This window comes from Homo sapiens, chromosome 2, assembly GCF_000001405.40.
Source record: "Homo sapiens chromosome 2, GRCh38.p14 Primary Assembly".
In the NCBI taxonomy this organism is placed as follows: Eukaryota; Metazoa; Chordata; class Mammalia; order Primates; family Hominidae; genus Homo; species Homo sapiens.
This window is the reverse complement of record NC_000002.12, coordinates 14,846,663-14,874,075: the sequence shown is the minus strand read 5'-3', so window position 1 is coordinate 14,874,075 and position 27,413 is coordinate 14,846,663. Positions and strand designations below refer to the sequence as shown.

Below are 27,413 nucleotides of genomic sequence, written 5' to 3'. Positions count from 1 at the left end.
TTGCTTTTTCTCCTGCCCTGGCTAGAGGCTTATCAATTTTATAAACCTTTTCAAATAACCATCTTTGATTATATTGACTTTGTCTATTTTTATTCTGTTTTCTGTTATGCTGATTTATCATGTTATCTTTGTCGTCTTTCTGATTATTTTGTGCTTAATTTGCTCTTATTTTCCCATTCTCATAAATTGAAATTTTAGATCATTGATTTATACTTTTTTAGTAAAAAAAAAATGTAATGCAATATATTTTAAGTACTGCCTTAGCCACATATTTTGATATGTCATGTTTTCGTTTCTTTTGTTCAAAATATATTTTAATTTTCTTTTTTATTTTGGACCTACAGGTTATTTTAAATATGTGTGGTATGTGTGGGTTTTTTTTTTTTTTGGAAAACATCAAGGAATCTTCCAGATATATTTGTTATTAATTTTTAATTTTCTTCTGCTGTGGTTGGTGAACATATTTTATATTATTTCAATCCTTATAAATGTATTAAAATCTGTTTTATCACATAGTCTATCCTGGTATATATTTTATGTGCACAAGCATGCATATTCTGGCCAGGCACAGTGGCTCACCTCTGAAATCCCAGCACTTTGGGAGGCGAAGGCGTGTGGATCACCTGAGGTCAGGAGTTTGAGACCAGCCTGGCCAACATGGCAAAATCCCATCTCTACTAAAAATACAAAAAAATTAATCAGGTGTGGTGGCACACGCCTATAATCCCAGCTACTAGTGAGAGGTGAAGCGAGTTGGGCTTCTGGATCGGGTGGGGACTTGGAGAACTTTTCTGTCTAGCTAAAGGGTTGTAAATGCATCAGTCAGCACTCTGTGTCTAGCTAAAGGTTTGTAAATGCACCAATCAGCACTCTGTGAAAATGGACCAATCAGCTCTCTGTAAAATGGGCCAATCAGCTCTCTGTGAAATGGACTAATCAGCTGTCTGTAAAATGGACCAATCAGCAGGATGTGGGTGGGGCCAGTTAAGGGAATAAACGCAGTCCACCCGAGCTAGCCTCGGCCACCTGCCGAGAGTCCCCTTCCGCACGTGGAACTTTTTTTCTTTCGCTCTTAGCAATAAATCTTACTGCTGCTCACTGGGTCTGCGCTGCCTGTATGAGCTGCAACACTCACCACAAAGTTCTGCAGCTTCATTCCTGAAGTCAGTGAGACCACAAACCCACCGGGAGGAACAAACAACTCCGGAGGCGCCGCCTTTAAGAGCTGTAAGACGCTCACCACGAAGGTCTGCAGCTTCACTCGTGAAGTCAGCAAGACTGCCAACCGACTGGGAGGAAGAGCAACTCTGGACCCGCCACGTTTATGAACTGTAACACTCACTGCGAGGGTCTGCAGCTTCACTCCTGAAGCCAGTGAGACCACGAACTCACCCGGAGGAATGAACAACTCCAGAAGTGCTGCCTTTAAGTGCTGTAACACTCACCCCGAAGGTCTAAAGGTCTGCAGCTTCACTCCTGAAGTCAGCGAGACCGTGAACCTACCAGTAGGAATAAACTCCAGACACTTCCAAATATCAGAAGGAACAAACTCTCTTGAAGTCAGTGAGATCAATAACCCACCAATTCCAGACGCATTAGGGAGGCTGAGGCAGGAGAATCACTGGAACCCAGGAGGCAGAGGTTGCAGAAAAGAAAAAGAAAAAAAATATGCATATTCTGCTTTTTTGTGTAGATGTAGTAATAAATATCAATTAGATCTAGTTGGCTGGCAGTTTTGTTCAAGACTTCTAGATACCTGCTAATTTTTTTTGTCTGTTCTATCAATTGTTGAAGGAAGGCTGCTGGCTTTCCCTATTTTTCCTTTCAGTTTTATCAGTTTTATGTCTTTTAAAGTTCTATTGTTATACATAAATATTTAGAATTACTATGTTCTCTCAATAATTCTCAAATGACCCTCTCTCTGTTTTATCTTTTTACTCTGAAATTACTCTCTGATGTTAATATAGTCACTCCAGTTTTCCTTTCATTTGTGAAGGCATGTGTTTTTCCATCCTAGTACATGCAATCTGTGTCTGTTTTTATATGTAAATGTGAGTATCTATACATGTGTGTGTATATGTGTGCTTGTAGTCAGCATATATTTGGGTCTTGATTTTCTATTCAATTTGACAATCTCTGTCTACAAATTGTTGTGTTTAGATAATTTATATCTAATGTGATAATTGACATGATTGGATTTAAATCTACCATTCTATTTAGTTTTCTATTTGTGTTGTCTATTTTTGGTCAATTTTGGCCTCTTACCTGCTGTCTTTTGAATTGAGCATTTTTAAAATTTCATTATTATATTATCACAATATTTTAATGATTATCTTAGTATTTAAAGTGTACACAGTCTACTTTTATGTAATATTACAACATATTATATACAGTCTATTTTACAGTAATATACTTCTCTTTCTCCTCTCCTGCCTTTTGTGCTACTATTATACATTTTACTTCCACATGTTATAAACCTTCAATATCTTGTCATCATGTTTGCTTTTATCTTTTACATGAATTTTTAAGAAAAAATAACTTTATATTGATCCATGTTTTTGCATTTCTGATAGTTTTCACATTTTTGTGTAAATTCAGATTTCCAACTAGTCTCATTTTTTTCTGTCTGAAATTCTTATTTTCACATTTTTTATTGTATGATTTGCTGGCAATGGATATTCTCAGATGTCATATGTCTAAAAAGTTTTTATTTTACTTTTGTGTCTGAAAACACCTTTGTGTCTTTATGTGAGACTTGGTTCTAGGAGTCTGTAAGTTTCTTTGTTCTATAGGTTTTGTTTCAAATGTGTCATTTCGTTTGCCATATTTTCTTTAGATTTTTTTTTTCTCTTCCCTCATCTTTCTCCTCTATTTCTGTTCAGAATCTCCAATTATAGGTATGTTAGGCCTCTTGGTGTTGCCTCAAAGCTGATCATTTGTTTTTTGTTTTTTCAATCTTTTTTTCCTTCTGTGTGTTTCACTTTGTGTAGTATTACTGTGCCTTTGAAGTCACTAATGTTTATTTTTCTTTAGTATGTAAGCTGCTGCTAGTCCTATTCAGTGTGTTTTTATTTTAATTTTTTTTTAGTTTATTTTTACTCTCAGACTTTTTTTTTATGTCTTCAAGTTTGATTTGTGGTTTCCTAATTTCTTTTATGTTTCTCATTATTAAACAATTGCATCATTCTATCTTCTGGAATATAAGGAACATATTGATAATAATACTTTAATATCTTTGTTTACAAACTTCTGTTATCTGTGTAATTTTGGGTTGCTTCCATGGGTTGATTTTTTCTGCCTGCTATGGTTGATTTTCCAGATTCACTGCACAGCTGTAATTTTTATTGGATGCCCAAAATTGTGAATTTTATGTTATTGCATACTGGATTTTTTGTGTGTTTAAAATTTTTTGTTTGTTTGTTTTGCCTTTTTTTTTTCACTCCTAGGACATAGTTAAGCTACATGGAAGTAGTTCAATTCACTTGAGGCTTGCTTTTAAGCTTTGCTAGCTAGGACCTAAGCCACCTTTATTCTGGGCTAATTTGGCCCACTGCTGAGGCAATACCTTCTCAAAATTCTGCTCAATTCCCTATGTTAGATGGCTTCTCCACTAGAGCTAGAGGAAGACATAAACTTCCCTAATCCCTGTAAGTCCTGGTGATCATTCAGCATGTTCCTTTCTGATGACTTTTCTCTGCACTTGGTAGTTTCTTCAAACCCATGACTGGATCAACACTCAGCCAAAGACTTGAGGGTTCCCTTTGCAGCTCTCTGGAATTTTTTTCTCTGTGCATCCCTCTGCTTTTGAGTACACTGTCCTGTGGCTTCTAGCCACTTTGGCCTCCCTGAAATCTAAGCTGGCTCTGCCAGTAAGGGAACCCCTTAGTTTGGGTTTGGGCTCCCCTCCTTGCACTGTAGAATCTCTTGAGGCAGTAAACTGAAGGAATTTATAGGGATCATTGATATACTTCCCTTCTCTCAGGGACCACTCTTAAGCTCTACCTGTTGACCAATGTTTGAAAACCATCATTTTAAATATTTTGTCCAGTTTTAAATTATTTAAAGAAAAAAGTAAACCCAGTTTTTGTTACTTGATTATGGTCAGAAGTAGAGGCCTCATTCTAATTTAAGTTATGTCTACCACTCATCAGTGTTGACTCTGTGATGAAAGTCCCATAGGGAAGGAAAGGAATTAGCATCCTGGCTGTGATGACTGACCCTGATCATTACAAGTCCACAATGGCCACAGAGGAGAATACAGTGGACATTTAGCTAACCAGCTTGGACATCTTTGGCTACCTTTTTGCCTAGTTTTGGTGGTAAATGGATAAGGGCAGCAGTCATGGCCCAAGAGGGACGTGGAAACCAAGAGTTCAGAAATCTCGGAGTTGAGGACTTTGGTCATCCCACCCATTAAACCACCCAGACAAGGAGGAGTGCTGATTGAGGGTAAGAGGAGTGTAAAATGATTAGTGGAGGAGGACGATGGTATGGATTGCTTGTGACCTGGTAAAACCACATGCAGAATTAGGGAATATGGTTGGTCTCATTAAAAAACTTTGATAAATTAAAACATAAAAGAAGGAGTAGAGAAAGTGACACAGAGAAGGGAGTGAAGCCAGTGAAGGGTGCATGTTTAATCCGGTACCACGATGAGTAACTTTGACCCAATCCTGCTAGAGATTTTCTGAATAGCCAGCTAGAGTGTACTCCAGAATTACCCAAAAGAGGGATGGAGAAACGGATATTTTCCACAGATTCCTGGGATCCTTTTGTGGTTGATGGTTGCTCTAGGCATATTAAAACTCTCACACTTCTGAGCAGCTCTGCAGAATGAATGAACACCATTCTAGGTGCAAGGGGAAGTTCTTGGCAAAGAGCAAGAAAGAGGCAGGTACCAAGATAGGAAATTGTCTTGGGAGGCAATAACAATAGCAGTTAGTACACTGTAAAACTTGCTTATTTATTTCATTTTCTGTCTTTTTCCATTAGCTGCGAGGACCACAAAAGTAGAGTTTTTTCTATTTCTTTAGCTGTGAGTTGACTTCATTCTCTCAGGGTCAAACATATAACTGGTGACATGTCCCCTGGAACCTTGAAAGTAACATACGATTTATAATCCAAGTGCAGAGAGACAACTCCCTTTGGAAAATTCTGGGGAAGGATTCTGTTGGGCTCAGTCTGGCTCATGAGCACCACCCCTCAGCCATCTTTCTATTCCCTATGCTCTGCTGTAAGGCAAAGTGTCTTTTTATAATTTGTAGTCTTACCAGAACCAAATGAAAGTGGGAAGGGATACTTTTCCAAAGGAAGAAAGGGGTGTTGGAAAGACAAAGCCATATAGATTGATTACACAAGACAGTCTAGTAGCAAAATCCCTGCTTTGTTAGTTAGACTAAACTCAGTAAGGAGAGGATGTACCTAGTGCAATCACTGAAGAAACCACAGAAAGGTTCTGAGTCTTGGGCTGCAACATACTAAGAAAAAATTCCGTCCGTGCCTACAACCTTGGCTGCACAATAATGAAGAAAGTATCAGGAAAGTAACTTTAGTGAGAAGGCTTTTTCAGTAATACCATGTACCAGTTACATGAGTATATTCTTATACTTTCGTATAGACCTTTATTTTCAAATCAATATTGGTAAACCACATGTAGATGTTGCCATGGTGAAATTTTAGTCATTTTCAACATATTCTATTGTAGTCTTGTTAAAATCCAAAATTAAAATAATTACTTCCAATATTAGAAACATAATAAGAAATACCTGATCAAGGTGCCCCGAAGCAGCAATTGCCATTATTAATGGATTCCTGCCTATATAGACTAGATGGGATGCATGGTATGGTACAACAATCAAAAACTTGAGAACCAGACCCATCTGGATTTAGTTTCCAGTTTTGTTATTTATAAGGTATAATGTTAAGCAAATTGCTTAGCTTCTGTGACCTTCAGTCTCATTGATTGTAAAATAAAGATAATAATTGAGATACCCTGTGTAAAATACACAACAATGTCTGGCCCAGAGCAGGTGCTCCATAAAAGGCACCAAGTGCCAAGGTCTAGTAATAAAGAATGTGAAGTGAGAAGTTGTGGGTTTGAATGCCACTTCATTTGGATGACTAGGGGTATGCTTTTTCCTTTTTCTGTGCCTCTGCATGGCTGTCGTGATCACTAGGAAAGAAAACATTTAATAATTCTAAACCATAGTAAGCAATGAAAAATAAGGTTTGCTTTCTACTCTTTTATTTAAAAAAATATGGGTAAGCACGTTTAAAACAAAATATAAACAGAAAATGTATAAACATGGTCCTTTCTTTACAATAGCAAATAAACCACAACAAAAGACAAGCAAAAAATTCCACCTTTCAGAAGACAGAGGAAGAATAATGTCTTTCTCATTTTTACAACAATCATGTGCATGATCTATTACATATTCTAATTAATGATAACCGTTCCTTACATTCATCCACTTTTCAGTTTACAAAGCACTTTTGGCATGCTTATTAGTGCTCAGTCGATGCTTGTAGAATTGTAAGATGGAGGAGCAAGGGCAAGCATCTAGAAACATCAGATTTAAAATACAGACCTTGCCAAATAAAGATGTTTGCCCTTGCCTGGGTCTTGAGGTAGAACATTTATATATTTTATTCTTCTAGGCCAATTGCTCAGGTCTTACCCCAAGAGAAGGCTGACTCTGTGCTTCCTTGGGCTTTTCAGATTGTTAGCAAACATGATATAATTAATCTACCAATCTACTACCCCTCAACCCTCCTGAGCCATGATGTAGAGACAAAGCTGTTGAGAAATGTTTTGTGTTGCTTTCTATTTAGAAAACTGCTATGGCTCAATGCAGATTTTATTGACTCCTGGACCTTAGCCAGAAAGGTTGGCTTTGTGACCTATCCACAGAGCAGTCTGTAAACTTCACTTAATGATATATCAAGTTGTTTCATTTACCCAATAGGTGGTTTTGTTTGCCACTCTTAAGCTCTTACAGTTTATTCTGTTTGCTTTTCATTTCTCTGCATAGCTTATAAGCCATGCAAGATCTTTTTGGCACAAAATTCTATGGGTTTTCTGTGACTAAAAAAGTCAGGCATATATTATTATTATGACTCAGTGTCGCAGTTAGATCTGTGAGTTGTTAGTAGTCTCTTAGCATTAGATTTCACCAAAGCCATTTCTGAATTGCATGAATACCACTTAAATACTGAGCCAAGGCCCATTTCAGATAATCTGTTTTTTGTGGTTCAAATGGACATTGGCTCTGATTGTTGATTGACATTAAATCTGCTTAGCAGCATTTTTCAGAATGATCCTGATGTCTCAAGAGTAAGATCCTGATGTCTCTTATGCCTTCAGTGGTCAGTTTTAGCCACATAACCTCATTTGACCATTATGTTTTAATCAGTACATGATTACATGGAGTGAGTGAGAAGAATATTTGACTAGACATCCAGAAACATGGATTTTACTCATACTCATTCCATGTCAGAGCTGAGAGCTTTTTAGCAAGTCACTTAGCGTTCTTGAGATTTGACTCCTGCATCTAAAAACTAAGTAAGAGACATTCTAGATAAATAAAAATATGGATAATATTATGGTTTTTGCTCTTGTAGTATATTCTAGACTTATTTGTATTAGCAATTTATTACAAACCAGTAACCAAACATTTTTGGTACCAATGCAATTGAGAAACAGATAAGACTGACAGCTGGAGAGAAAAAAATATTACTAGTATTGCTAGGTTAGAGAACATGGGTTGGTCTTTATCTAGAGTCAGCCTTCTTATCATCTGCTTGATGAAAGCACCCAGAATTGCTAGTCACTAATTGCAAGGGCAGAGCCTGCACTGTTAAGCTGACTGTATAAAAGAGAAGATGGCTTCTCTAAAATAATGGAGTGGGAAGGACCACATGGCCAATATGGACTTTGAACATCAGATCCTTGTTCCATGGAGTGATGTGAACTAATAGATGTCAGTCTCATGATTTTTGCCAATCAGATAAAGCATCCCACCTCTCATGTAGTGGCCCGAGAGACTGTAGCTGATAAAAAAAATCCATCTGAAAATAGAGACCAGGGAAACAATTTCTTCTAAGGGCATGTTTAGTAAAATTGAAAGAGTATGAGATTTGGAGTGAATGAGATCTTCAGTTTGGATCTTGATCTTGTTGGTTAAGAGTTTTCTACCAATTTGGTCAAACTTAAGAAACTCTCCAAGCTTCAATTTTTCTAGTAGCATGGGAATAATAATAATAATAACAATAACAGATTCATAGGATTGTTGTGAGGATAAAATGCAATCTCATAGAGAAGGCATCTAGGCACATTATAGACACTGTATGTGTATTACTATATTTCTATAAGTCTAGTACATAATTATAAGATGCTTCATTGATTTAGTGTCAGCAATTGTAATGAACAAAACAAAACAATATTAGATTAATATACTTGCTGGGCATAAGATGATTTTGCACTTCAGAGAGGTTAAAATGTGAAAAATAATACATGCTTTACAATTATAAGGGATTTTCTTTTTAAGCCTAGTTGAAAATTAAGCTTCCCCTGTCTTTCATGGCAAAGGAGCTATGCTTACTGACTTGTCTAAGACAGTGAAGTTGGATTTTCATATTCTTGTTCCTCTCTGGGTCCACTTCTTTTGCTTGCTCACACTTTTGTCTCCGAGAGATTTCTCACATTTTCCTACTTCTTTCCCTCTAGACTCCCCACCCCCACCTGCTTCCCCAACCTGAATTCCACTGAGATGTAAATTACTAAGAACAGGCTAATGGAGTATTGATACAAAGGTTTATAATTTTAATGTTATAGGAGGTGATGGGGAAAGAAGTTAGAGTTATTATTCCCCCCCACTCACCCCACCACCTCCTACCATTTTGCGAATGGAGAAATGGAAGCTCAGTGAGGTAGGAGTGACTTATCTAAGCTCTAGTATAGTTAAGAAGCCCAGAACAGAAGGCGGTAGTTTCTATTTACTTTTAACACAGAAACCCTTGTTGGCGGAAATTCATGTATGGAGAGACAGCTAATAATAAAGACAAAAGCTGAGTTGCTCTGATTGAAGTCTAGTAGGAGACTAAGGGGTCTGTGAACAGAGGGGCTCCTTAAAGCAGCAGAACTGATGGCATGACAACAATTGTACACTATCTTTAATAATACAAGCTAACACTTTTTGAGCATTTACTACATGGCAGGTTCTGTTCTAGGTACTTTATATGTATTACCGTATTTAATTCTTTCATCAACCCTGGAATATAGGTGCTATTATTATCCCTTTTGTACAGATGCTTTAACTGAGTCAGGGAGGTGTTAAATCAACTGCTCATGGTCACATAGCTAGTAAATAACAGCTTGGGCAGCCAGAATAGTACACCTTCGATGTCCTTGTCCTTAATCCCAAAGCCTCGAGTCCATGTGTTATTGGGCACTATGTTTTCTCCTTTACAATACATTATTTCCTTTTAATTCTCACCACAAACTCAAAATGAAGGTCTGTTTTTCATGTTTAGTAGAAAAGGATTCTGAGTTTAGAAAACTTAAAGAACTGACCAAGGCTCAAACAGCTATTAGAAATGGGAGAATGGGACTTGGATATTCGCTGTTTCTGTACCTGTGCCACTACCTGGTTACCCTATGGCTACCTGTTGGGTAGTATGAATAGTATGAATAGTCTTGAAATAAGGATTCAAGTCTTGGCTGTTTTATTCTTTCTTTCTTTTTTTTTTTTTTTTTTGAGATGGAGCCTCGCTCTGTCACCCAGGCTGGAGTGCAGTGATGCAATCTCAGCTCACTACAACCTCCTCCTACCTCCTGGGTGCAAGTGATTTTCCTGTCTCAGCCTCCTGAGTAGCTGGGATTATAGGTGTGTGCTACCACGCCCAGCTAATTTTTGTATTTTTAATAGAGACGGGGTTTCACCATGACGGCCAGGCTGGTCTCGAACTCCTGACCTCATGATCCACCTGCCTTGCCCTCCCAAAGTGCTGGGATTACAGGCGTGAGCCACCGTGCCTGGCCAACTCTGTTACTTAGTAACTAAGTGATTTCAGTTAAGTCATCCTGTTGGAGTGTTAATCTTGCCATTTGTAGAAAATTAGCTTTTGCCCTCAAATGCCACTCCTCACTGGAAGAACTGATATGAGACCAAGGAGATCAAGATTCTACTTCTGGTTTTGCTACTCACTACTTGCCATCAGGTGACCTGCAGGAAGGTAGTAAGCTTTTAAAACCTCAGTTTCCTTGTCTACAAAAATAGGTATTAGAAGTGTTGGAATATAATGTTTAAATCTCTCATGTTGACATATCCATGTATTAAAAGCCAATTCGTTTCTGACTATCTTTTCAAGAATGTTTACATAAGCTAATGTCAGGCCTCTGAGCCGGAACTAAGCCATTGTAACCCCTGTGACCTGCATGTATACATCCAGATGGCCTGCAGGAACCAAGAAGTCTGGAGCAGCCGTGAAACCACAAAAATAGTGAAACAGTCAGTTTCTGTCTTAACTGATTAACCAACCTTACGACATTCTACCATTATGACTTGTTCCTGCCCTACCCTAACTGATCAATTGATCTTATGACATTCTTCTCCTGGACAATGGATCTCGTGATCTCCCCACCATGTACCTTGTGACCCCCTCCCCTGCTGACAACAGATAATCACTTTCAACTGTAACTTTCCACTGCCTACCCAAGTCCTATAAAGCTGCCCCTCTCCTATCTCCCTTCCTGACTCTCTTTTCAGACTCAGCCCACTTGCACCCAAGTGAATAAACAGTCTTGTTGCTTATACAAAGCCTGTTTAGGTGGTCTTCTATATGGACATGCATGACAACCAATGGCCTTAGAAAGATGATGACTTCTTTCCTAGCAAATTTAATCCCATTTGAGATTATAAAGGTGGAGCTATGTCATGCTCTTCTGCAGAGCAGATGTGCCATATTCCAGAGTAAAGAAGACATTGTGTCTACAGAGAGGACAATGTGAAGCTTTGCCAGACATCTACATAAGGACAGAGTTTCCAAATCTCAGGGTTCCTGAAACATGCCACTGATGTGTCACTTCTGGGTCAAAATGTATAAAAGTGGTGTGCTTTCTCCATAGCTTTCTTTTGCTTGCATTGGCTGAATCCAGGGAACACCAGTAACCTCAGAGAGAGTGGCCTCACCAGATGGGAGAAACCTGAGTCCCTGAATTACCCTGTGGGAGGCTGCCCGACCACCAAGGCTGCCATTGGGTTGTGTTGTGAGTGAGCAAATAATTTTCACTGGCTTAAGCCACTTAGAATTCGGGAATCATCTGCTATAGCATCTAACATTACCTTAAATAATAAAAGCTGTGTTGGGAAAATAGTATTTATTAATTTCCTTTTATATGCCCAACATTGTACTAGGCGATTTTACATGTGCTATCTTATTTAACTATAAAGCAACCTTGAAATTTAGTTATTATTTTAATTTTACAGATGAAGAATCTGAAACTTAGAAAGGTTACATATTTGTTTGTTTGTTTTTTTCTCTTCACAAGATTACACAGTTAAGAAAATAAGGTAGGAATGAAACCTGGTCTCCCTGGCTCTAGAAATTATGCTAACCCACCTTCCAGAAACTAATTATTTCATTAAAAATTGTTTAAATAGGCCGGGCGCAGTGGCTTATGCTTGTAATCCCAGCACTTTGGGAGGTTGAGGCAGGTGGATCACGAGGTCAGGAGTTCGAGATCAGCCTGACCAATATGGTGAAACCCCGTCTTTACTAAAAATACAAAAATTAGCCAGGTGTGTTGGTACGTGGGAGGCTGAGGCAGAAAAATCACTTGAACCCGGGAGGTGGAGATTGCAGTGAGCTGAGACTGTGCCACTGCACTCCAGCCCGGGTGACACAGCAAGACTCCATCTCAAAAAAAAAAAAAATGCTTAAATAAATCTGGCTCACTTCCAGAATGCCAGGAATGGTTGAAAACAACGTCAATGATCTCCAGCATTCACACTGATTCCCTTCTTGAGTTGTGTCCTGATCTGTTACTCCTTGCTTCTTAGGCATTTATCACTGACCCTTGGCTCCAGATACCGGCCTTAATTCCTATCTGGGACTTTGATACTTTCCTGATGGGTTAGAAATGGTCTTCTAGGTCTGTTCTGTGGTCCTAGCCTTGTGGCTATGGACATAAAGAGCAATAAATGTAGGAAAGCCCCACATTTCACTCTGGCGATCTAGGGCCTGTATTCACCAAGACAACCCTATTTCACCTTCTTTCCCACTTGGGAGAGAGAGTGACGCTGATATTGTGAAAGTATATCCAAGCTATTTTACATTGCCTGTTTTGCAGTGCAGTGCCAGACTCTTAAAAAAGTGCAATATAAAATTTTAAGCCCAACAGTAAAATATAAGTTGCCACATAATAGAACACTTAAATTATTGAGGGGATAGCATCATCCTGAGATTTCTCAAAGGAGTACTTGTTGAAGAGCTATGTCTGCTCAGTGCAACCCTTGAAAGCAATAATGTGATCTAAAGTCTGTGTTTTTCAAGAACTAAAAGGGAAGATGTTTTGTTTTTCTAAACTGGCATGTGCATTTTCATCTCCTCTACCAGACTGAGTGCTCCTCCAGGTGTGTCAAGACTTCCTGTTCTTTTGTCTCTCAATTCACATGCAGACTGCTGGTGCACATGCACTAAAATGCTCATAAATTCCTGTGGCTCCTTCGAGAATGCACTACCCTTCCCTGAAGACACCAGTGAGATAAATGAAGACCATAAAACAAAACACGTATTTTGTTGGAATTAAGTATTCAGAATAACTCCCAAATGAATAATGTCGTTATCTGAATTAGATTCATTGTACATCTGTAATGTGCAAAGCTCCAAGATGTGTATTAGAGTTGTAAGTGCATAGAACTCAAAGTATGGGACTTCAAGAAGATTATATTACTGACAATGAGATAGATTACAAATAGAGAATGTAAATCTTCACATAAGCATCATTTAGATGTAATAAAGAGGTATTATACAAAACAGCTTGCATATGGCCTTTTAAATTTTTTGAAATTTTAATTTATTTTTTAAAATTGATACATAATAGATGTACATAGCTTTGGGGTATATGTGATAAATTAATACATTAATCTAATTTGTAACGGTCAAATCAGTGTAACTGGGATCTCCACCACCTTAAATTTTTGTCTTTTCTTTATGCTATTAATAGAAACACTTGAATTACTCTCTTCGAGCTATTTTGAAATCTACCTCAGTTTATTATAAATTATACTCACCCTATTGATCTATCAAACACCACGTCTTACTTCTTCTATCAAACTGTATATTTGTACCCATTAATCACCCTCCCTTCATCCTTCCCATATAACACTCCCTATCCTTCCAGCCTCTGGTAACTGCCAATCTAATCTCTATCTTCATGAGATTCACTTTTGTAGCTCCCATATATGAGTGAGAACATGTGGGATTTGTCTTTCTGTGCTTGACTTATTTCACTTAATATAATGACCTCCATTTCAATCCATGTTGCTGCAAATGAAAGGATATCATTCATTTTTATGGATGAGAAATATTCCATTGTGTTTATATATCACATTCTCTTTATCCATTTATCAATTGATGGGCAATTAGATTTATTCACTATTTGGGCTATTCTGAATAGTGCTGCAATGCGTGAGAATGCAGATGTCTCTTCAGTACATCAATTCTTTTTCTTTGTGGATCTGTACCCAGTAGTGGAATTGCTGGATCATATGATAGCTCTATCTTTAGGGTTTTGAGGAAACACCATGATGTTTTCTATAGTGGCTATAGTTAATTTACATTCCCGTCAACAATGTGCCAGGGTTCTCTCTTTCTCCACATTCTTGTTAATCCTTTTTGATAAAAGCGATTTTAACTGGGGTGAGATATTTATATTTCATTGTGGTTTTGATTTGCATTTTTCCAATGATTAGTGTGATGTTGAGCATTTTTTTCATATACCTGTTGGCCATTTGTGTGTCTTCTTTTAGGAAATGTCAATTTCTATTTATATCTTTTTTCCATTTTTTAATTGAATTATTTATGTCTTTGCTATTGAGTTATGTGAGCTCCTTATATATACTAATTATTAATCACTTATCAGATGGGGACCGTTCATATATTTTCTCACATTCTGTGGGTTATGTCTTTAGTTTGTTGATTGTTTATTTTGCTGTGGAGAAGCTTTTTAGCTTGATGTAATCCCATTTGTCTGTTTTTGCTTTGATTGCCTTTGCTTTTGAAATCTTATACATTCTTTGCCCAGACCAATGTCCTGGAGCATTTTCCCAATGTTTTCTTCCAGTAGTGTCATAGTTTCATGTCTGAAATTTAAGTCCTCAATCCATTTTGATTTGATTTTTGTGTATTGTGAGAGACAGGAGGCTAGTTTCATTCTTTTGCATATGAATATCCAGTTTTCCCAGCACCATTTATTGAACGGACTGTCCTTTCCCCAATGCATGTTCTTGGTACCTTTGTTGAAGATGAGTTGTCTGTAAATGTGTGAATCTGGGTTCTCTATTTTTTCCATTGATCCATGTGTCTGTTTTAATGTCAGTTCCATACTGATTTGGTTATTACAATCTTGTAGTACATTTTGATAACAGGTAGTGTGATACCTCCATATTTTTTTTATTTGCTCAGGATTGGCTTTGGCTATTCAGAGTCTTTTATGGTTCCATACCATAAAAATTTTTGAGGTTGTTTTTTCTATTTCAGTGAAGAATGTCATCAGTATTTTGATAGGGATTTCACTGAATCTGTAAATTACTTTCAGTAGTATTGTCATTTTGACAATATTAATTTTTCCAATCATGAGCATGGAATATCTTTCTTTAATTTTTGAATCTTCTTCAACTCCTTTCATCAGTGTTTTATAATTTTTCTTATATAAATCTTTCACTTCTTTGTTAAATTAAAACCTAGATATTTTATATCCTTTGTAGCTATTGCAAATGATATTACTTTCTTGATTTGTTTTTCAGATTGTTTGCTGTTGGCATATATAAATGCTACTAAATTTTGTATCTTGCAACTTTACTGAATTTGTGTTTTTCATTTTTAATTTTTGTGGGTACATGGTAGATGTATATATTTATGGGTTACCTGAGATATTTCGATATAGGTATGCAATGCATAATAATCACATCGGGGTAAATGAGGGGTATCCATCATTTCAAGCATTAATCCTTTGTGTTGCAAACAATCTAATTATATTCTTTTAGTTTTTAAAAATGTGCAATCAAATAATTTTTGACTATAGTTACCCTGTTGTGCTAGCAAGTACTAGTTCTTATTCAATCTTTCTAAGCATTTTTTGGTACCCATTAACCATCTCCACTTCCTCTTCCCAACTACCCCACTACACTTCCCATCCTCTGGTTACCATCCTTCTACTGTTATCTCCATGAGTTCAATTATTTCAATATTTACCTCTCATAAATAAGTGAGTTGATGCGAAGTTTGTCTTTCTGTGCCTCACTTATTTCACTTAAACATAATGATCTCCAGTTCCATTCAAGAGACATAAAAGTGACAGGACCTCATTCTGTTTTGTGGCTGAATAGTACTCCATCATGTGTATGTACCACATTTTCTTTATCCATTCATCTACTGATGGACACTTAGGTTGCTTCCAAATCTTTGCAGTTGTGAATATGCTGCAATGAATATGGAGTGCAGATATCTCTTTGATATACTGATTTCCTTTCTTTTGGGTATATACCCAGCAGTGGGTTTGTTGAATGATATGGTAACTCTATTTTTAGTTTTTTGAGGAACCTCCAAACTGTTCTCCATAGTGGTTGTACTAATTCACATTCCCACCAACAGTGTACAAGGGTTCCCTTTCTCTTCACCAGTATTTGTTATTGCCTGACTTTTGGATAAAAGCTCTTTTCACTGGAGTGAGATGACATCTCATTGTTGTTTTGATTTGCATTTCTCTGATGATCAGTGATGTTGAGGATCTACCTGTTTACCATTTTTATGTCTTCTTTTGAGAAATGACCATTAAAGTCTCTTGCCCACTTTTTGATCAGATTATTAGATTATTTTTCCTATAGAGTTGTTTGAGCTCCTTATATATTCTAGTTATTAATCCCCTGTCAGAGGGATAGTTTGCAAATATTTTCTCCCATTCTATGGGTTGTCTCTTCACTTCGTTGACTGTATCCTTTGCTGTGCAGATTCTTTTTAACTTGATGTGATCCAATTTGTCCGTTTTTGTTTTGGTTGCCTGTGCGTGTGGGTATTACTCAAGAAATTTTTGCCCAATCCAGTGTCCTGGAGAGTTTTCCCCAATGTTTTCTTTCAGTAGTTCCATAGTTTGAGGTCTTAGGTTTGAGTCTTTAATCCATTTTGATTTGATTTTTATATATAGCAAGAAAGAGGTCTAGTTTCATTCTTTTGCATATGAATATCTAGTTTTCCCAGCAGCATTTATTGAAGAGACTGTCCTTTCCCCAATGTATGCTCTTGACACCTTTGTCAAAATAAGTTCACTGTAGATGTATGGATTTATCGCTGGGTTGTCTATTCTGTTTCACTGATCTATGTGTCTGCTTTTATGCCACTACCATGCCATTTTGGTTACCATAGCTCTGTAGTATAATTTAAAGTCAAGTAATATGATTTTTTACATTTTTTTTCTTTTTTGCTTATGACAGCTTTGGCTCTTCTGGGTCTTTGTGGTTTCATATAAATTCTAGGATTATTTTTACTATTTCAGTGAAGAACATCATTGGTATTTTGATGGAAAGTGCATTGAATCTGTAGATTGTTTTGGATAGTATGGACATTTTAACAGTATTGATTTTTCTAATTCATGAACATGGACTATTTTTCCATTTTTTGGTGTCCTCTTCTATTTCCCTTATCAGTGTTCTATAGTTTTCATTATAGACATCTTTCACTGCTTTGGTTATGTTAATTCCTAGGTATTTAATTTTATCTGTGGCTGTTGTGAATGTTGTACATGGTACTACCTTTTTAATTTATTTCTCATATTGTTCATTGTTGGCAATGCTACTGATTTTTGTATGCTGATTTTACATCCTGCAACCTTACTAAATTTGCTTATTTCTCATAGTTTTCTTGTGAAGTCTTTAGGTTTTTCAAAATATCAAATCATATCATCAGCAAACAAGGATAATTTGAATACCTTTTTTCCAATTTGGATGCCCTCTTCTTTAAGGCTAATAACTCATATTTGCCCCGTTGAGGCTATTTTCTAGATCTTTTAGGCTTGTTTCATTGCTTTTGTTTTTCTTTTGTCTCCTCTGTGTATTTTCAATTAGACTGTCTTCAAGTTCACTGATTCTTTCTTCTGCTTGATCAATACTGTTAGTAAAGAACTCTTATGCATTCTTCAGTATGCCAACTGCATTTTTCAGCTCCAGAATTTCTGCTTAATTCTCTTTAATTATTTCAGTCTCTTTGTTAAATTTATCTGATAGAATTTTGAATTCCTTCTCTGTGTTATCTTGAATTTCTTTGAGTTTCCTTAACACAGCTGTTTTGAATTCTCTGTTTGAAAAGTTGCATGTCTCTCTTTCTCCAGGATTGGTCCCTGGTACCTTATTTAATTCATTTGGTACAGTGTTTTGTTTTCCTGGATGTTGTGGATGCTAATAGATGATCTTTGTTGTCTGTTCATTGAAGGGTCATATATTAATTATAGTCTTCACTGTCTGGACTTATTTGTAGCCATTCTTCTTAGGAAGGCTTTTCAGATATTTAAAAGGACTTGGATGTTGTGATCTAAGCTGTATTTGCTTTAGGGGACACCCCAAGTTCAGTAATGCTGTAGTTCTTGCAGACTCATAGAGGTACTGCCTTGATTGTCTTGGACAAGATCTGGGAGAATTCTCTGGATTACGAGGCAGAGACTCTTGTTCCCTCCCCTTACTTTCTTCCAAACATAGTGAATGTTTGGGGTCTCTCTCTCTCTTTCTCTCTCTCTCTGCTCTGAGTGACCTAAAGCTGTAGGTGAAGTGATATAAGCATTTCTATGGCCACCGCAACTATGGCTGCACTGGGTCAGGCCGGAAGCCAGCACAGCACTAGGTCTTGCTCAAGACCTGCTGTAACCACTCCCTGCTACTGCCTATGTGTGTTCAATGCCCTGGGGCTCTACAATCAGCAGGTGGCAAAGCCAGCCAGGCCTGTGTTCTTTCCTTTAGGGTGGTGAGGTCTCACAAGCCCTAAGTGGGTCCAGAAGTGCCATCTGGTAGTCAGGGCCTAGAGTCAAAAATCTTAGAGGCCTACTTAGTGTTCTATTGTATCGTGCCTGACCTGGCAGTCAAACAACACAAGGCTGTCCTTCCCACTCTTCCCTCCCATTTCCAAAGGGACAGGAACCTCACTCCATAGCCACTGCTACCCCAGGCCATGAGGAGTACAGCTAGACTACCACCAATATTCCCTTAAGTCCCCAGGTTTCTTAAGTTAGGTTGTCATGAATGCTGCCTAGCCTGGGACTCACCATTCATGGCAATGGGCTCCCTTTCTGGCCCAGGGCAGGTCTAGAAATGCCATCCAAGAGTGAAGTCCTAGAATCAGGCACCCCCAAGAGCCCACTTGGTGCTTTCTGTCTCCCTGTAGCAATCTTAGTACTTAAGGTACAAGACAAAGTCCCCTTTACTTTTTCCTGTGCTCTTCTCAAGCAGAAGTTTTGCCCTGTAGACACCACAGCTGGTTAGGTGCTGAGTCTCACCTGAAGCCAGCAAGTCTCAGAGCTAGGGCCTTTGATGTAGTACCTGGTATTGCTGCTGGTTATTCATTGCATAAGGGCTCTTCAGTTAGCAGGTGATGAATGCTGGCAGGACCGGGTCCTTTCCTTCAAGGCAGTGGGTTCCTTTCTGTCCCAGGGTGTGTCTAGACATGTTTTCTAGGAGCTAGGCCTGGAATGGGGGCCTCACAACTCTGACCAGTGCCCTATCATGCTGTGGCTGGGGTGTATCCTGGATACAAGACAAAGTTCTCACCACTCTTCCCTCTTTTCTCCTCTAGCAGGTGGAAGGGGTCTCTTTTGGAACCATGATCTCTGCAGCCTGGGGGTTAAGGAGGGGTGATGTAAGCACTCCCTTGACTGCCCCAGCTGGTGTCTCAGTATGTTGCATGTACCCCTAGTCCACTGTCTCTGGGCCTATTTCATCACTAGGACTCACCTATGAGTTGCAGTCCTTATAGTCTAGACTGCCTTTCAAGTTTACTTGGAGAAACAGAGTGCTATAGCTTATGGTGGTGAGGTTTGCAGGAGCTCAAGTTTTAACAGCTGGGATTGGACTAGTTTAAATGCTCCCTCCATGGGTGGGCATCAGCTGAGTTTGGTCCAGTTTTCCTTTCTGCTCTAACAGGACAGCACTGCATTCAATGGCTCACAATTTCTGTGTTTTCCCTGCCCCAGGTCCCAGAGATACTCTCTGAACCATGCTGTTGCTGGGGGTGAGGGGAGGAGCGGGGTCTGCAATTTCTGGACTTTTTTTTTTTTAATTTTATCTCTTCAGCACCTTTTTCAGCAATTTGAAGTTACAAGCAGGTGCTATGAGTGCTCACCTGATATTTGGTTCTTGTGAAGGGGTTTTTTTTCTGTGTAGATGGTTGTTAAGTTGGTGTCATTGCTGGGGGACATGGGGAGAGGGTTGATGGCACTTTCTATTCTGCCATCTTGCTCCACCCTCTCCAAATTCATTTATTTTTGGTCTGATCTTTATTATTTCTTTTCTTTTACTAATTTTGGGTTTTATTTGCTCTTGCTTTTTTAATTAAGATGCATCATTAGGTTGTTTATTTGAAGTTTTCCTTCTCTTTCAAGGTAGGTATTTATAGCTGTAACTTCCCTCTTAGTACTGCATTTGCTGTATCCTATAGGTTTTGGTTTTTGTATGTTGTTTCCATTATCATTAGTTTTAATAAATTTTTCAATTTTCTTCTTTTTTTTATTATTATTATTATTTTTTATTATACTTTAAGTTTTAGGGTACATGTGCACATTGTGCAGGTTAGTTACATATGTATACATGTGCCATGCTGGTGCGCTGCACCCACTAACTCGTCATCTAGCATTAGGTATATCTCCCAATGCTATCCCTCCCCCCTCCCCCCACCCCACCACAGTCCCCAGAGTGTGATATTCCCCTTCCTGTGTCCATGTGATCTCATTGTTCAATTCCCACCTATGAGTGAGAATATGCGGTGTTCGGTTTTTTGTTCTTGCGATAGTTTACTGAGAATGATGGTTTCCAATTTCATCCATGTCCTTACAAAGGACATGAACTCATCATTTTTTATGGCAGCATAGTACTCCATGGTGTATATGTGCCACATTTTCTTAATCCAGTCTATCATTGTTGGACATTTGGGTTGGTTCCAAGTCTTTGCTATTGTGAATAATGCCGCAATAAACATATGTGTGCATGTGTCTTTATAGCAGCATGATTTATAGTCATTTGGGTATATACCCAGTAATGGGATGGCTGGGTCAAATGGTATTTCTAGTTCTAGATCCCTGAGGAATCGCCACACTGACTTCCACAATGGTTGAACTAGTTTACAGTCCCATCAACAGTGTAAAAGTGTCCCTATTTCTCCACATCCTCTCCAGCACCTGTTGTTTCCTGACTTTTTAATGATTGCCATTCTAACTGGTGTGAGATGATATCTCATAGTGGTTTTGATTTGCATTTCTCTGATGGCCAGTGATGATGAGCATTTTTTCATGTGTTTTTTGGCTGCATAAATGTCTTCTTTTGAGAAGTGTCTGTTCATGTCCTTCGCCCACTTTTTGATGGGGTTGTTTGTTTTTTTCTTGTAAATTTGTTTGAGTTCATTGTAGATTCTGGATATTAGCCCTTTGTCAGATGAGTAGGTTGCGAAAATTTTCTCCCATGTTGTAGGTTGCCTGTTCACTCTGATGGTAGTTTCTTTTGCTGTGCAGAAGCTCTTTAGTTTAATTAGATCCCATTTGTCAATTTTGGCTTTTGTTGCCATTGCTTTTGGTGTTTTGGACATGAAGTCCTTCCCATGCCTATGTCCTGAATGGTAATGCCTAGGTTTTCTTCTAGGGTTTTTATGGTTTTAGGTCTAACGTTTAAATCTTTAATCCATCTTGAATTGATTTTTGTATAAGGTGTAAGGAAGGGATCCAGTTTCAGCTTTCTACATATGGCTAGCCAGTTTTCCCAGCACCATTTATTAAATAGGGAATCCTTTCCCCATTGCTTGTTTTTCTCAGGTTTGTCAAAGATCAGATAGTTGTAGGTATGCGGCATTATTTCTGAGGGCTCTGTTTTGTTCCATTGATCTATATCTCTGTTTTGGTACCAGTCCCATGCTGTTTTGGTTACTGTAGCCTTGTAGTATAGTTTGAAGTCAGGTAGTGTGATGCCTCCAGCTTTGTTCTTTTGGCTTAGGATTGACTTGGCGGTGCGGGCTCTTTTTTGGTTCCTTATGAACTTTAAAGTAGTTTTTTCCAATTCTGTGAAGAAAGTCATTGGTAGCTTGATGGGGATGGCATTGAATCTATAAATTACCTGCCCATTTTCACGATATTGATTCTTCCTACCCATGAGCATGGAATGTTCTTCCATTTGTTTGTATCCTCTTTTATTTCCTTGAGCAGTGGTTTGTAGTTCTCCTTGAAGAGGTCCTTCACATCCCTTGTAAGTTGGATTCCTAGGTATTTTATTCTCTTTGAAGCAATTGTGAATGGGAGTTCACTCATGATTTGGCTCTCTGTTTGTCTGTTGTTGGTGTATAAGAATGCTTGTGATTTTTGTACATTGATTTTGTATCCTGAGACTTTGCTGAAGTTGCTTATCAGCTTAAGGAGATTTTGGGCTGAGACGATGGGGTTTTCTAGATATACAATCATGTCATCTGCAAACAGGGACAATTTGACTTCCTCTTTTCCTAATTGAATACCCTTTATTTCCTTCTCCTGCCTAATTGCCCTGGCCAGAACTTCCAACACTATGTTGAATAGGAGTGGTGAGAGAGGGCATCCCTGTGTTGTGCCAGTTTTCAAAGGGAATGCTTCCAGTTTTTGCCCATTCAGTATGATATTGGCTGTGGGTTTGTCATAGATAGCTCTTATTATTTTGAAATACGTCCCATCAATACCTAATTTATTGAGAGTTTTTAGCATGAAGGGTTGTTGAATTTTGTCAAAGGCTTTTTCTGCATCTATTGAGATAATCATGTGGTTTTTGTCTTTGGCTCTGTTTATATGCTGGATTACATTTATTGATTTGCGTATATTGAACCAGCCTTGCATCCCAGGGATGAAGCCCACTTGATCATGGTGGATAAGCTTATTGATGTGCTGCTGGATTCGGTTTGCCAGTATTTTATTGAGGATTTTTGCATCAATGTTCATCAAGGATATTGGTCTAAAATTCTCTTTTTTGGTTGTGTCTCTGCCAGGCTTTGGTATCAGGATGATGCTGGCCTCATAAAATGAGTTAGGGAGGATTCCCTCTTTTTCTATTGATTGGAATAGTTTCAGAAGGAATGGTACCAGTTCCTCCTTGTACCTCTGGTAGAATTCGGCTGTGAATCCATCTGGTCCTGGACTCTTTTTGGTTGGTAAACTATTGATTATTGCCACAATTTCAGCTCCTGTTTTTAGTCTATTCAGAGATTCAACTTCTTCCTGGTTTAGTCTTGGGAGGGTGTATGTGTCGAGGAATGTATCCATTTCTTCTAGATTTTCTAGTTTATTTGAGTAGAGGTGTTTGTAGTATTCTCTGATGGTAGTTTGTATTTCTGTGGGATCGGTGGTGATATCCCCTTTATCATTTTTTATTGTGTCTATTTGATTCTTCCCTCTTTTTTTCTTTATTAGTCTTGCTAGCAGTCTATCAATTTTGTTGATGCTTTCAAAAAACCAGCTCCTGGATTCATTGATTTTTTGAAGGGTTTTTTGTGTCTCTATTTCCTTCAGTTCTGCTCTGATTTTAGTTATTTCTTGCCTTCTGCTAGCTTTTGAATGTGTTTGCTCTTGCTTTTCTAGTTCTTTTAATTGTGATGTTAGGGTGTCAATTTTGGATCTTTCCTGCTTTCTCTTGTGGGCATTTAGTGCTATAAATTTCCCCCTACACACTGCTTTGAATGTGTCCCAGAGATTCTGGTATGTTGTGTCTTTGTTCTCGTTGGTTTCAAAGAACATCTTTATTTCTGCCTTCATTTCGTTATGTACCCAGTAGTCATTCAGGAGCAGGTTGTTCAGTTTGCATGTAGTTGAGCGGCTTTGAGTGAGATTCTTAATCCTGAGTTCTAGTTTGATTGCACTGTGGTCTGAGAGATAGTTTGTTATAATTTCTGTTCTTTTACATTTGCTGAGGAGAGCTTTACTTCCAACTATGTGGTCAATTTTGGAATAGGTGTGGTGTGGTGCTGAAAAAAATGTATATTCTGTTGATTTGGGGTGGAGAGTTCTGTAGATGTCTATTAGGTCCGCTTGGTGCAGAGCTGAGTTCAATTCCTGGGTATCCTTGTTGACTTTCTGTCTCGTTGATCTGTCTAATGTTGACAGTGGGGTGTTAAAGTCTTCCATTATTAATGTGTGGGAGTCTAAGTCTCTTTGTAGGTCACTGAGGACTTGCTTTATGAATCTGGGTGCTCCTGTATTGGGTGCATATATATTTAGGATAGTTAGCTCCTCTTGTTGAATTGATCCCTTTACCATTATGTAATGGCCTTCTTTGTCTCTTTTGATCTTTGTTGATTTAAAGTGTGTTTTATCAGAGACTAGGATTGCAACCCCTGCCTTTTTTTGTTTTCCATTTGCTTGGTAGATCTTCCTCCATCCTTTTATTTTGAGCCTACATGTGTCTCTGCACGTGAGATGGGTTTCCTGAATACAGCACACTGATGGGTCTTGACTCTTTATCCAATTTGCCAGTCTGTGCCTTTTAATTGGAGAATTTAGTCCATTTACATTTAAAGTTAATATTGTTATGTGTGAATTTGATCCTGTCATTATGATGTTAGCTGGTTATTTTGCTCGTTAGTTGATGCAGTTTCTTCCTAGTCTCGATTGTCTACATTTTGGCATGATTTTGCAGCGGCTCGTACCAGTTGTTCCTTTCCATGTTTAGCACTTCCTTCAGGAGCTCTTTTAGGGCAGGCCTGGTGGTGACAAAATCTCTCAGCATTTGCTTGTCTGTAAAGTATTTTATTTCTCCTTCACTTATGAAGCTTAGTTTGGCTGGATATGAAATTCTGGGTTGAAAATTCTTTTCTTTAAGAATGTTGAATATTGGCCCCCACTCTCTTCTGGCTTGTAGGGTTTCTGACAAGAGATCTGCTGTTAGTCTGATGGGCTTCCCTTTGAGGGTAACCCGACCTTTCTCTCTGGCTGCCCTTAACACTTTTTCCTTCATTTCAACTTTGGTGAATCTGACAATTATGTGTCTTGGAGTTGCTCTTCTCGAGGAGTATCTTTGTGGCATTCTCTGTATTTCCTGAATCTGAACGTTGGCCTGCCTTGCTAGGTTGGGGAAGTTCTCCTGGATAATATCCTGCAGAGTGTTTTCCAACTTGGTTCCATTCTCCGCATCACTTTCAGGTACACCAATCAGACGTAAATTTGGTCTTTTCACATAGTCCCATATTTCTTGGAGGCTTTGCTCATTTCTTTTTATTCTTTTTTCTCTAAACTTCCCTTCTCGCTTCATTTCATTCATTTCATCTTCCATTGCTGATACCCTTTCTTCCAGTTGATCGCATTGGCTCCTGAGGCTTCTGCATTCATTCTTCACGTAGTTCTCGAGCCTTGGTTTTCAGCTCCATCAGCTCCTTTAAGCACTTCTCTGTATTGGTTATTCTAGTTATACATTCTTCTAAATTTTTTTCAAAGTTTTCAACTTCTTTGCCTTTGGTTTGAATGTCCTCCCGTAGCTCAGAGTAATTTGATCGTCTGAAGCCTTCTTCTCTCAGCTCGTCAAAATCATTCTCCATCCAGCTTTGTTCCGTTGCTGGTGAGGAACTGCGTTCCTTTGGAAGAGGAGAGGCGCTCTGCGTTTTAGAGTTTCCAGTTTTTCTGTTCTGTTTTTTCCCCATCTTTGTGGTTTTATCTACTTTTGGTCTTTGATGATGGTGATGTACAGATGGGTTTTCGGTGTGGATGTCCTTTCTGTTTGTTATTTTTCCTTCTAACAGACAGGACCCTCAGCTGCAGGTCTGTTGGAATACCCTGCCGTGTGAGGTGTCAGTGTGCCCCTGCTGGGGGTGCCTCCCAGTTAGGCTGCTCAGGGGTCAGGGGTCAGGGACCCACTTGAGGAGGCAGTCTGCCCGTTCTCAGATCTCCAGCTGCATGCTGGGAGAACCACTGCTCTCTTCAAAGCTGTCAGACAGGGACATTTAAGTCTGCAGAGGTTACTGCTATCTTTTTGTTTGTCTGTGCCCTGCCCCCAGAGGTGGAGCCTACAGAGGCAGGCAGGCCTCCTTGAGCTGTGGTGGGCTCCACCCAGTTCAAGCTTCCTGGCCGCTTTGTTTACCTAAGCAAGGCTGGGCAATGGCGGGCGCCCCTCCCCCAGCCTCGCTGCCGCCTTGCAGTTTGATCTCAGACTGCTGTGCTAGCAATCAGCGAGATTCCGTGGGCGTAGGACCCTCCGAGCCAGGTGTGGGATATAGTCTCGTGGTGCGCCGTTTTTAAGCCGGTCTGAAAAGCGCAATATTCGGGTGGGAGTGACCCGATTTTCCAGGTGTGTCCGTCACCCCTTTCTTTGACTCGGAAAGGGAACTCCCTGACCCCTTGCGCTTCCCAGGTGAGGCAATGCCTCGCCCTGCTTCGGCTCTCGCATGGTGCGCGCACCCACTGTCCTGCGCCCACTCTCTGGAACTCCCTAGTGAGATGAACCCGGTACCTCAGATGGAAATGCAGAAATCACCCGTCTTCTGCGTCGCTCACGCTGGGAGCTGTAGACTGGAGCTGTTCCTATTCGGCCATCTTGGCTCCTCCCCCTCAATTTTCTTCTTAATTTCTTCATTGACATATTGGTCATTCAGGAGCATATTTTTTAATTTCCATATGTCTGTATTGTTTCCAAAATTCCTCTCATTCTTGATTTCTAGTTGTATTCCATTGTGGTCAGAGAAGATGCTTGATATAATTTCAATTTTTGAACGTTTTAAGGCTTGTTTTGTGACCTAACATATGGCCTGTCCTTGAGAGTGATCCATTTGCTGAGAAAAAGCATGTATATTCTGCAGCAGTTGGATGAAATGTTGTGTAAATATGTAATAGGTCCATTGCTGTATAGTGCAGATTAAGTCAGATGTTTCTTCGTTGGTTTTCTGTCTGGAGGATCTGTCCAATGCTGAAAGTGGGGTGTTGAAGTCTTCAGCTAATATTGGAGTCTATCTATCTCCTTAGCCCTAATAATATTTTCTTTATATATCTGAATGCTCCAGTGTTGGGTGCATATATATTTAAAATTGTTATATCTTCTTGCTGAATTGACCCCTTTATCATTATATAGTGACCTTGCTTGTCTCTTCTTGTAGTTTTTTTTTTTTTGAAATCTATGTTGTTGACATAAGTATAGGCACTTCTGTTCTTTTTTGATTTTCATTGGTATGGAATATCATTTTCTAGTCCTTTATTTTCAGTCTATTTGTGTCTTTTTTTTTTTTTTTTTTTTTTTAAGATAGAGTCTTGCTCTGTTGACGAGGCTGGAGTGCAGTGGTGTGGTCTTGGCTCACTGCAAGCTCCGCCTCCTGGGTTCATGCCATTCTCCTGCTTCAGCCTCCCAAGTAGCTGGGACTACAGGTGCCTGCCACCACACCCGGCTAATTTTTTGTATTTTTAGTAGAGACGGGGTTTCACTGTGTTAGCCAGGATGGTCTCAATCTCCTGACCTCGTGATCTACCCACCTCGGCCTCTGAAAGTGCTGGGATTACAGGTGTGAGCCACCATGCCCGGCCGTCTATGTTTGTCTTTATAGGTGAAGTGTGTTTCTTGTAGGCAACAGATTATTGGATCTTGCATTTTCATCAAATCAGCCAGTCTATTTCTTTTGATTGGAGAGGTTGGTCCATTTACATTCAATGTTATTAATGATAAGTGAGAACTTATTCTTGCCTTTTTGCTATTTGTTTTCTGGTTGTTTTTTTCTCTTTCTCTTTCCTTCCTTCTTGTCTTCCTTTTAGTGACAATTATTTTTTCTGGTGGTATGATTTAACTTTTAACTTTTAATTTTTTTGTGTGTCCATTTTATGTTTTTTGATTTGAGGCTACATGAGGCTTGCAAATACTATCTTATAATCCATTATTTTAAGTTGATAACAACTTAATTCTCTTTTCATAAACAAGCAAAAAGAAAACTAATAAAAACTCTATAACTTTACCCCCACTTTTCAACTT

At 38.8% G+C, this 27,413-nt stretch overlaps 1 protein-coding gene across 1 annotated transcript in view, besides 1 other annotated feature; it reads left to right on the top strand.

Moving 5' to 3' along the window:
• NBAS (NBAS subunit of NRZ tethering complex) overlaps positions 1-27,413 on the top strand; it is a 782,426-nt gene that overhangs the window by 687,259 nt on the left and 67,754 nt on the right. The window lies entirely within an intron of this gene.
• Positions 25,151-25,721: an enhancer, noted in NCBI's record as "H3K27ac-H3K4me1 hESC enhancer chr2:14988479-14989049 (GRCh37/hg19 assembly coordinates)". NCBI's record gives its function as "activates a minimal SCP1, AML or CMV promoter by ChIP-STARR-seq in naive and primed H9 embryonic stem cells {active_cell/tissue: H9 hESC(naive and primed)}" and the evidence as "EXISTENCE:reporter gene assay evidence [ECO:0000049][PMID:30033119]".